The sequence below is a fragment of the Homo sapiens genome, chromosome X, assembly GCF_000001405.40.
Source record: "Homo sapiens chromosome X, GRCh38.p14 Primary Assembly".
NCBI lineage: Eukaryota > Metazoa > Chordata > Mammalia > Primates > Hominidae > Homo > Homo sapiens.
The window spans coordinates 93,783,582-93,796,552 of NC_000023.11; positions in this window are offsets into that span (position 1 = coordinate 93,783,582).

Consider the following 12,971-nt stretch of genomic DNA (forward strand, 5'->3'; position numbering starts at 1 on the left):
AGAAAGGATTCACTTTGGGCTTAACTCTCTAGTTTGGTCTAATTTTATTTGACATTTTTGTCCATCACAGTATGAGAGTCCTTTTTTTTTTTTTTTTTTTTCCAAGAATGAAAGAACAGTTTGTTTCTTCAAGGCTGCTGCTCTTTTCTTTGCTGTTCAAAAGGAAACTAAAGTTTCCTTTTTATTCTTCTTTTTTCTTAGCCTCCAAGTGTTAGGCTTACCAAGGGTGGAGATTGATAGCCGTAGGAGTTTAAGAAATGTCTTTAATTCACAAACTGCTCTGTAGTTGCGGTTGTTCAACCTTAGTGATGAGCTAGAGTTAATACTTCTCTCATTTTTTTTTATGTGGGTAAAGAAATTACTCACGGATTTGCCATCTTCTACTTCAAGGATATTTTAGTTCAGATGGATAGGATATATTGGTGAGGAGGGAAGAAGAGAAGGCATGCCTCTTAAAGAATCAATAATCCTTTCTTCTAGAAGCCTGGAGAGAGAGAGATCTCTGTAGTCAGACCATAGCTATTTGTGAAATGATGAAAAGAGATTGAACAGTTGCTGAGTGCTGCTAGGTGCCGAACACTATTCTAGACATTTTACATATGCTGCATCATTCTCACAACAATTTTATAAATTAGATAGTACTATCTTCCATTAACCGAGACTTAAATAATTTCGGTAATTTAATCAGCATTATACTGTTAGTGAGTTTCAGACCTTGAATTTTAACACTAGTCTGCTCATTCTCTTTTCCACAGAATTAATACTTTCTTTTTCAGGGATGGTTAAAAATGCAGCAACTAGCAGGCCTGTACATTATGTCATTTCTAATTACCAGTGTCTATATTTGGTAATAGGGAACATTAAACATACTAGGTAAAATGTTAAATGTTGCACTTTCACACTAAATTGGTACCTAGTTGAAGTGATGGACTTCTTTTCACCTAGAATTAGGTATTAGGTATCAGGGTGGGGTTAGATCACAGAAACAACAGTGGTTATGACATTCATTCATTCATTCATTCAGCTAGTCAGCACTCCACTATGTACCGGGAATGTGGAGATTAGCCAAACAGAAATGGCCCCTACTCTCATTTAGTTAAAGTCTCCTAGGGATAAGACAATAATAAAATAACCATACATTGTGATAAGTGCTATGAAAAAGAGTTGCATGGCATAATAAAAACATAAAATAGGGGGGAAGTTCTTAAGGAAGTCCAGAAATGTTTCCCTGAGGAAGTGACATTTGAACCTGAGGAAAGGGTAGGCAAAGAAAGGTGTTACTATATAGAAGTGAACAGGATCTGGGGGTCAATATTCTAGGCAGAGAAAATAGCTTATGTGTAGAGATTCAGATAGAGCATGAAGAGAGATGACATGTAGATGGGCACAGAGGCCACACTACGGAGGGCTATATAGGCCACAATACAAATTTAGATCTTTATCCTGAGAACAATGGGAAGTCTTTGGAGTCTATGAGTCTATTAGAAAGTAATAAAAGAAGAGCTGCTCAAACAATGAAACGTATATTACTTTTGGACTTCAGATGGACATACAGATACCTCACAGGTAGAACGGCATGATATCACCCAGGATTACTTAAGGGGAGCATACTTTTTCAAGTCTATCCTTACATGCATGTTGAAAATAACAGGATTTTTTTTAGCATTTTTGAGACAGTACGTGATTTACTGAATCTGTAAAAGCGTGGTTGACAGTGGGGAAATGTGTGATTGATAGTCTCATTATATTTTCCAGTGAAGCCCATTGAATCTAGGTGACATGTAAGTAAAATATAAGTAAGTGGTACAACATTCCATTAGGAAGAAAAGAATAAACTCAACCTGGCCAGGCGCGGTGGCTCACGCCTGTAATCCCAGCATTTTTGGGAGGCCGAGGCAAGTGGATCACTTGAGGTCAGGAGTTCGAGACCAGCCTGGCCAACATGGTGAAACCCCGTCTCTACTAAAAAAAGTACAAAAGTTAGCTGGGCGTGGTGGTGCATGCCTGTAATTCCAGCTACTCAGGAGGTTGAGGCAGGAGAATCGCTTGAACCCAGGAGGCGGAGGTTGCAGTGAGCCAAGATTGCACCACTGCACTCCAGCCTTGGTGATGGAGCGAGACTCTGTTTCAAAAAAAAAAAGGAAAAAATTTAAAAAAGAGTAAATTCAACCAAATGACAGCAAAGTGAGCCCAGTGAACTGTCTCATATGTTATCTAAACATCATATTATAGCTAAATCAACAATCATTGATGGTATAGTTTCCATTCTTGACTACTATTCATACAGAATAAAAAACTGCCATATGCCATTACAGTATTTTTAATTTAATTTAATTTAACTTAATTTATTTTTAGTTACCGATTTTTGTTTAATTTTTGTGGGCTCATAGTAGCTGTACATGAGACCCTACTCTTACAAAGACATTTCAAACAATCCAATTGCACCCTGTAAGTTATTTTAAAATGTACAATTAAGTTATTATTGACTATAGTCATGCTGTTGTGCTATCAATAGTAGGTCTTATACATTCTTTCTATTTTTTTTGTACCTACTGACCATTCCCACCTACCCCCTGACCCTCCCATAACCCTTAGCAGCTGCTAGAAACTATCCCTCTAATCATTGGAGTAAATTGAAATTTCAGACAATGAAACAGTAGAGATGGAAAATAGCATTTGTCAGCTAGTTTATCTAGGCATATAGTGAGCTATGTAGCATAACAGTTGAGTTTGAAGACTCTGGAACCAATTGTTTAGATTTGAGTTGTGGCTTTCTTGCCATGAGACCTTCATAAGTTACTTTACTTCTCTGTGCATCAGTTTCCTTCCTTGTAAAATAGGATTTACCTCATAGTGTTATTGTGAGGATGAAATTAATTAACAAAGATAAAACATTTAGAATAATGCTTGACACACAGTAAACACTAAGTATAACTATTATTATTTGAATTTAAGGTATAGTCTAAGATTATCTAAAACATGAAATAACTGAGCTACTGAACTGTGTGACTTTTGTTTCATTTTGAGAGGCTTTGTGTGAATGCAAGTTGTGTTTCTTAGTATTTCATATGATAAGATGTTCAGAAGCAGTAAAAGATATTTTGTCTCATTTTGTTGTCAGTTTTATCATATGACCTTAGAAAATACATTTATGTTGCTAGTTTGGAACTTTCCTGTTTGTCACAATAAATTGAATTTTTCAATTATTTGATATTCTTTTACAAGACTGTGGTGTTAACTTTCTTTTTTAAATTTTACTCTGCCTTTGGAAATAAAAGGGCCTGAATGCATAATATATTTTGGTTATGCTTAGCTGGACAAATTGCCTGAATGCTGATTGACTTCATGAATATTAACATTCATATTCAATAGATTTTTCTTCTTAAATAGGGACAGTTTGACTTTGTTACAATTTACTACAAATGAGGATCATTTGATGCTTATATCAGATATGAAACATTCTAATATTGAAAGGAGAAGGGCTAGCGAATTTGACATGAGGGAATAATATCAATAAAACCATCAAAGAATGACCACGTGAAGAGTCAGAAAATTATAATTTCGTAAAGAGGGAACATGTTGCTGCTGAGAAACAGTCTTGTCAATTGAAAGCATACCAGCCATTGATTATGTCTCTAATACTTTTTGGTTAACTGTTGCACAAAAATGAACTTTATTATTTTCAGCCTAGAGGAACAGATTATCACTGCAGTTAGTGTCCTATTATGGCATGTGTGGTTTACTCGCCCTGAGAGGGGGTTGTATGCCAACCTGTGAGTCAGCTGTTCCTGGTCATGAGAACTGGAGGCACTAGAAGCAAACCACCTTACCTTGAATTACTTGGCTTGGGTTGGTGAGTGAATTTTAGGGTTTTAAGTTGCTACTCCACACATGGTCAAAACCTCACATTATCAGAAATGCTGTTATAAATAATACTCATAACCAATATTCCTTGGTTTTGGAGAGGCTGATTACACAATCTATCTTTCAATTTTTAATCCTACCAAATTGGTGTGCTTTGAAATGAGTGTTTCTATTTTGCTTAGATACATAATCACTTAGATTCATAATGAATCAGTTGCCTCCTTGGCAGTGGAACCAAGCCAATGGATCATATATGTGCTTTGTTGCAATCAGTTTTGTTACTGAGTGTTAATAAATAAGAAATACATTCCCAACGTTGATTTTACAGGATGAGCTTCAGTACATAAAAAGTGTTCAGGAAAGATTGAAAGGTTCCTTGCTAGTACTAGCAGTGGATACATTAGGCAGATTAAAATCCAGATGCCATTAAACAGCAGAGATAGTTTGATTTTATAAAGCATCTGCTCTTCTTTCTGCCCATAACTGCTATAGTCATTATAATGATAGAATTACTGCTATTCCTAGTTCACAAAATGTTTTGACTTTTCTCTTTACAAGTAGCTTTATTAAAATATAATTCACATGCCATACAATTTACCATTTTAAAGTGTATAGTTCAGTTATTTTTAGTATATTCACAGTTATACAAACATCCTTACTATTTCCAGTACATTTTCATCACCCCCAAAAGAAACCTGTACCTCTCAATTCTCCCTTCCACTATCCCCTTGCAACTACTAATATACTTTTTGCCTCTAAAGATTTGTCTATTTTGGACACATTATATAAATGGAATTATACAACATGTGGCCTTTTATGACTGGCTTCTTTCACTTAACATAATGTTTTCAAGGTTCATCCATATTATAGCATGTATCAATACTTCATTTTTTTATTGCTAAATAATAAAATTGGTTGATGAGCATTGGGTTCTTTTTACCTTTTGGTTATTATGAATAATGCTGCTATAAACATTCATGTACACATTTTTGTGTGTACGTATTTTATTTCCTTTAGGGATATATGTACGAGTGGGAATTCCTGGCTTCCATGATAATTCCTGTTTAAAGTTTACTGGAGCTTACAGTTTTCCAATTTAAAAAAATTTTCTAATAAGATCATTACAACAACTTGTTTAAGACTATGTGCCAATTAGTTATCATGCCCATTTTTATACACATGGTTTCTAGAATCTGGAGCCATGGTGTTACTTTCTCAAGTTAGGAGAGCTAATAAGTGGGCAAGCTGGGACTGTGAACCAAGGTTTCTGACCATCCAGTGTAAACTTTCAGATAAGTGCTCTCATTATACCTAGAATGCCTTATTTTCTTTAATGAAAGTCAGATCCATTACCATCTAAGGTAATGTGTACAGAGCTTAAGATTCTAAGGGTCAGTTTTGCCATTAACAAATTACTTCCAAGGCCCTTCCCAGCTCTGTCAGTACCCAAATCTCTGCCAAAACTTGACGACTGGGTAGCATGAGGTACTGAAAAGTGACAGATCTGGGTTTAGGTATTAGATCCACTGTTTACTAGCCACCTTGGGGACACCGGTTTTCTAGTCTCAACTTCACAAATAATTTTCTGTGCAATTTGCCTAAACTCAAACTCTCTGAGGCTCAGAACCCAGTCATTTATGTTTAAAATAGTCACCATACCTATATCACAAGGTTCTTGTAAAAGTCTAATGAAGTAAAGCATGCAATTTGTCTAGCACAGTGCTAAGCACAAAAAGTAGATTAGTAAAACTCTGTATATATGCTCAGGAAGAGATATATAGATCTACATATTCACACTTCTCATTCCATCTCTTCCTCCAAACCTGGAGATTATCTACCATATCAATATATGCTTAAAACCATTTTGGAAATGAAATAAATATTGAAATTGGTTAATTTGGCAATTAGCAATGCAGAATGTTTTCAGTAAAGATGAAATGCTCTTTCCCATAAAAAAGACAAGCTAATTGATAATAACTTGTTTGCTAACTTACATCCCTCTTAGTCCTGTACCAAGTACTTTACCGTCTCTTGCCTATATACTTAGGTCTCTCCAATTTACAGCTCAGAAGCAACCGCTAAATCAAACACTTTCAGCATCTTGAAAGGACCACCTTTTTAAAAGCTCATTTTCTTTGAACATGTGCAATAGCAGCAAAGCTAGTTGTTAATAACGATTTTAAGCCAAGTGATCACAACAGGATCTCTATGCAGATACAAACTGAGGCACTATATCAATGATAGCAGATTATGTAGCTTTATCTTCTATCACATTTTATAACACTTGCTACATTAAAGATATATTCATAATGACTCTGGAGCAAGTTGAAAAGCAAACAAAATTTTTTTTTCTGTGTTTATTATATGACTTCACCTATACCTTCCAGAAGCATTTTGCTTATTGGTATGATTTTCCATACATTTGGAGGTGTGGATATCCATTTATGCACAAAGTTACTTATGTTTACATAAAACTTGAGACTAATTAAAATACAAAGTTATTAGAATAAATACAAATAGTATGAATAAGTGCAAGTCCATTTACTGGAGGCCTACATTTGACAGCGAGTGTTCTTAGTTCTATATATACAGTATTGTATACAGTTTCCTCTCATCTGCATTTTCACTTTCTTCAGCTTCAGGTTCCAGCGGTCAACTGTGGTCCAAAAATAGGCAAGTACAGCACAATAAGATTTTTTGAGAGAGTGACCATATTCAAATAACTTTTATTACAGTATATTGCTATAATTGTTCTATTTTATTATTAATTATTAATCTCTTACTATGTCTAATTGACAAATTAAATTTTATCATGTATATGAATGTGTAGAAAAAAGCATAGTATATATAGGGTTCAGTACTTTCTGCAGTTTCAGGCATCCACTAGTGGTTTTGGAACATATCCCCTATGAATAAAGTTGTCTACTCTCTATACATTTAAAACAGTGCACTGACATTTTGAAATGAGTATTTTCTGGTTTCATTCACGTTCGAATTTCTGTGTGTTGCTGCAAAGGTTTCACACTGGAATCATGAACTTTTCAGAATTTCAGACCAAATTTAAACATACATTTTTAAAATGAGGTCAGTTTGCCTATCTTTATTCTTTGGCTTAGCTGTTCACATCTGAATACAAAAAGTGAAGGCATTTCAATACTTCTAACTTCTCTCAGAAATAAATTATTACACAGACTCAAAAATCAGCTCCCTATTTCCAAAATGGGTGGAATATTTTATAAAGAAAGGTTATCAAAATGTTTTATGACAATTCTTTTGTTCTGCTGGGTTTATCAATTTGAAACCAGAATGTGTTAGGGAAAGCGTGCTTTTCTCCTCTTATTCAGATAGGTGTAAAATGTTATCATCATAGGACTGCCTGAGGCAGTGGTGATAGGGCACCAGCCAGTCGCTACATTTTAGGGTAAATCACATTTTCTTCTCCATAACCCTGTGGGCTTGATTAGAAACACTCTTCAAATGTGGGAAGAATCAAACTCCACAGTTCTCATGAGAACAAATGATACAATATCCTAATCCTCAACAAAGGAAGCTTCGAAAAATCTCCTCACCCTGTTACAATCTGGCCCCTTTTAGTTTAGTTTCAATTATTCAGAATAACAATCACCGATACCACTTATTTTAAGATATCTTCAGCTCTAATAAAATTCCATAATTTCTATTGAGTGATATATTGTTAGAAGTGTTCAGAATATTTATGACATTAGAATCTAATGTGTAAATGAAGTAGACAGAGAAATAATTAAGGCTGATTCTCAATTTCTCTTAAGAGTATTAAGTAGAAAAAAAATTTTTACTACTAAATGGCAGAAAAAAACAATGTTTAGAATGAAATTAAATCAATGAAAAAGGGCAGAATGAGGGTTATTTTAATGACATTATTTGATTCTAACTGCGCTTTAGCTTTCATAAACATGGTCTCCGCCTTACACAGCCTCACTTTTCCTTTCAGTCTGTTTTCCCAATGTGTTCACCCGCAGCTTTTATACAGCAAACCTATTTTCTCATTAAATGTGTGACTTGAATCGCTGACTCAGACAATAGTACCGGAAGTAAATTATCTGGATAAATGTTCAGATTAAACACTGATTTGAGGGCTGTCAACTGCATGCATGTATAATTTCCTCCCTGAGGACTCAAGTGTTAATTCCCTTTATTATTATTAGTCCTTTGAGTGCTCAGTGGGAAACTAAATTTAATTCCAGATACGCATTAGGCCTCTATTTCTCATTTGTTTTCTTACTTTTAATAAAAGTTTATTAGCTTTCACTTTTTCTTAAGAAAAGTGAAAAAGTCATGTTCACATGACCATTTTTAATCTCAAAAAGAAAAATATTTTTCAATGCCATTGCCATTACTGTTTTGCTCTACTCCCTGAACTAATGAAATTTAATGTTCTAAAATGTCATATAAATTCATAGGTCCTTTGGATGCTAATGCATAGAATAATTCTGTACCTTTCCTTAAGGACAAATTATTTATTTCTTACTTAAGTAACAGTGATGTAGAGTCAAGAAATCACCCCTTAGATTAAATTTAACATATTTTATTATTGATGACTTTAAAATTAGTTGATTTGTGATAATAAATGTCCACCTTAAAGCAAAAATTGACATGGATTTAAGGTACAAATAAAACTAAAATGCCAATGGGTAGTGTGTTGTAGCAGAAAACCAGAATAAGGAAATCTAAGTGACTTTAGGCAAAGCATTTTACATTCCTAGATTTCTGTTTCCTAATCTGCAAAATCAAGGATCTGGATTAGATGATGGATTTCTAAGGTACTTCTGGCCATGACATTCTAAGCAATATAACAAAAGTATACTGTGGCTATGAGATAGCAAAACTGGCTAGTTCCAAAGAATTTGATTATTTTTATTATTGTAGCTATGAGTCTAATATCTTGCTCTTTTAATATGAAGTATGTTAAGGGAAATTAGATTATTTGTTACTGATAAATACGGCTTGTTACAATTTTAAAAAACAGTATTATTCCACTTACTTTCAGCAGTATCAAATCTCTAGAATAGAATTACAAGCGGCTAGAAAATGGCCTCCCTACACTTTACTCTTCAAAGGAGAAACTGTGCTCTCATGAACCTACTTTTAAAAAATATTTCTTCTCTTTATACATTCCCCTAACTTTTTAATTTGAAAAAATCCAAACCTGCAGAAAAGTTGAAAGAATAGAACAAGTATCCACATTATCTCTCTCACCTAGATTCACCAGTTGCTAACAGATACACACACACACACACACACACATACACATACACATACACAAACACACTCCCCATACACAAACACACAAGTTGCTGACATCATGGAACTTTACCCCCTAATACTTCAACGTCATGTATTCCCCAGGAAAAATAACTTTCACTTACATAACCACAAAATCATTAGCATATCCAAGAAATTTAAATGTGCATACAAATATTACCTACTATATCAACCATGTTTAAATGTCCCCAATATTAGTCTATTAATGGTCTTTATAGTTAATTTTAATTGATTTAAAACATAATAAAAACATCAATGATTTTAAGGTTCAAGCCAATTATTTTGTAAAAATGCTACACACTGGATTTGTCTGTTTCCTCATTATTAAATTCAGGTTAAACATTTTTAGTAAGATGACTACATAGGTGATATTGTGTATTTGTATAACATCAGGAAACACATAATGACAATTTGACCCATTATTGGTGATGCTTAATTTGATTGGTCACCTAGATAATGTCTACCTCCAAAAGTACCTTTCTCTCTTGTAAACGTACCTTCCCCTCAGAAATAAATAAGTGAACTGGGGGGTGATAATTTAAGGCCATGTGAATATATTGTTTCCCAACATCCTTTTTCTCAATAGTGAAGCTAAACTAAAATTAGAATGCATTAATGACCCTTGTCTGAATTAGTCATTACATTGTGGTTGCAAAATGGTGATTAATTCTATTGTTTTGTCAATATTTATTAGCTTGAATTTTTCTTTAAAAAAGCTTCCTTTTAAAAGCTTTCCTATGAAAGAAAATTTCAAAGATACATAAAATAGAAGAATATAATGAATCCCCATATATTCATCATCCAGCCTCAAGAGTTACTGACATTTTGCCAGTTTTGTTTCATTGAAGTTTTGTGTTGGCGTGTTTATTTTTCTGGAGTATTTTAAAGCAATTTCCAGAGATCATATATTTTCACCATAATGTACTTCAGCCTATTTTTATAAAACACACACAATTTAACTAAACTCTATTATCTGTTTTCGTATTAGATTAGAAGTAAGCAATTTAGAATATAGGGAGATGTTGGTGACAAGCAACATGAGAGCAATAAGTTTAGCAGCTCATAGTAAAATAGTACAATCAATGAAAAGGTAGACATGCCATATGGTTGAATGCTAGAGTATAATATTGCATGTTTATGATGATAACCCTGATTTATCCAGAAGAAAGTTGTGTTTAGTGTTTGATAACTTTTGTATAAGAAGACAAGTGCAAGTATAATTGATTTTATAAAGCCCTGCAGACAGAAATTCATAAAAATACTTAATAAAAAATTTACAATTAGTACAGGGTTTTGCACTTGAATGGGTAACCTTTAGTACTTAGGAAATTAACCCATAATGCCCTATAAATGAGACAGCATTGTGCATTAAAAAGTATAAATATAACATAGATTTATGTTAAGCCCTGATACCTAACATGGAAATAAAATTTTCAAATAGGGATATAAAACATGTGAATATCTGAATCACAAAACTTGTCATTTAACTGTAAATACTCCCCAGCTATCAGTAGTCAGAGTTATACTAGATGGATTTAGGGCTGACTGAATCTGTTGGTAGGTCTAGATCATTTAATAGTGTGAAACTCAGAAGCTAACTGTCAGAATATCTAGGTGTTAAGACAGACCAAGCCAAGCCTCAACTGAATGGAAGAGCCATAAACAGGAGTTAAGCTGATAGGCCATGTATATGCTTTAAAAAATTCTTCACATAGAGGTCTTTATAACTCAATCCTTAAAGTAAAATGTCTAGTGACATACTATTGAAGATGAGCAAAAACTCATCATCCAGTACTTTACAACAAAATGGGAGTGCTTCCTCTAAGACTTTTTCCTGAACTGATGCCCATTTCCAGAAATGAAAACATGCTGACTTTTTGAAAGTGCTATATGTGGCTTTAAAAGTCTTTTTTTTTTTTTTTTCTGAGTCGGAGTCTTGCTCTGTGGCCCAGGCTGGAGTGCAATGGTGCAATCAGCTCACTGCAACTTTGGCCTCCCGGGTTCAAGCAATTCTTCTGCCTCAGCCTCCTGAGCAGCTGGGATTACAGGCACATATGACCATGCCTGGGTAATTTTTGTATTTTTAGTATTTTAGTAGAGACGGGGTTCCATCATATTGGCCAGGCTGGCCTCAAACTCCTGACCTCGTGATCCGCCCATCTTGGCCTCCCAAAGTGCTGGGATTACAGGTGTGAGCCACCTTGCCTGGCCCAAAAGTCCATCTTATAAGTAACAAAGTGATGTTGGAACCTTGCTCCATTGTAGAATTAAAACTGTGGGATAACACAAAGGTGGCCAATAATTTGGTATTTGGAATATTAAACAAAGAAGAAAGATCAGAAGGAGCTGGGGAAATCCTATACTGCAGTTTTCTTCTGAATTAAAAAAAAAAAGTTAATTAACATTTTGGCCCAGGGTGTTTAGATTCCCTCCCCTTTTTAAAAACAAATAAGTTACTTTCAGGAAATTTACACCAAATGGGAAGCGTTATTAGAAGAGAAAGATAGCTTCATTTGTCCCAAGTCATTACAACCATTTTGCTGGTGAATTGGAGTGATTTTCTGAGAAAAGTGGAAAAAGCCACTTAACTGTAGGTTACTCTGAGGATGGAAACTAAGTTGATTTCCTCTTGAGAATGGAAGAGCCATGACAGGAATTTGAAATAAGAGAGGGGCATTTCAAAATTTACAATTTTGAAAGTGAAGAACTATTCAATTTTGAGCAACAAGATTTTATAGCCATACTATCGTTTGTCTGATTAAAATGGATAAGATCATGAAAGTTGAAGAGACAAGGTATCATCTTTCTGCCTGTTGAAATCTGTGACAGCATAGGTAAGATAAGAGAAAGGCTGATGAGATGGTAAGGTCAATGACGTTTATGGTAGAGCATCCTGGAGCCTGATAGATGAATAGAATATAAAATACAGGAAGTGATTTTAAAATATGGCTAAAACTTCTAAAGGGAAATAGTTTTAAAGTGAGTCCTGCAGACCCGTAGCGTGGAAAGAGTGAAGAACAAGGTTTGTGGCAACCAGTATTTGTCAGAAACCATAGCGTCTCCTGAAGGAAGTGTGGAGCATGTAGGTTTGGGTAAGTATTTTTCTCCTGGTTAATGAATATAAAATTGGAATACTTTCTGGGAACATCCTTACTACCTGTAATATACACAGGTGTGTCTTGCTTGTGTTCAATGCTGCTCTATTAAAATTAATGTTTCATTTACTTAGATTTATACACTACAGGGAAGAAATGAAACACAAACTTAAAATCATTGGCAGAAATCTCTGTGTGTATTAAAATCTGTTGTGCATTTCACCATTTTAAATTTAGTTTTTTCTAATGATAAATGTAATCTACACAGTCACTGTGCAAAATTTTTAAGCGTTAAGATGTATGTAGAAATAGAAAAGTAAAAGAAAAGCAAATCCCACCCCTCAGAAATATAACACTTTTTTGGCATATTTTCTTCTAGTCTATTTTTTCTTAATTTTGGAAGAAACATATTCCAGACACGGGAAAGTAAAGAGGATAATAGATTGCCTTATACTCAACCACTGAGTTGTAGCAAATGTTAAGACTGCCACATCAAGTTCAGATTCTTTAAAAAAAGAAATAGTCACTTTGGGGAGGTGGTGGCAGGATCTCTTGAGGTTAGGGGTTCAAGACCAGTCTGGGCAACAAAGCGAAACACTGTCTCTACAAAATATACAAAAATAAAAATAAATAACTGGGCATGGTGGCTTGCACCTGTGGTCCCAGCTACTCGGGAGGCTGAGGCGGGAAGATCCCTTGGAACTGGAAGTT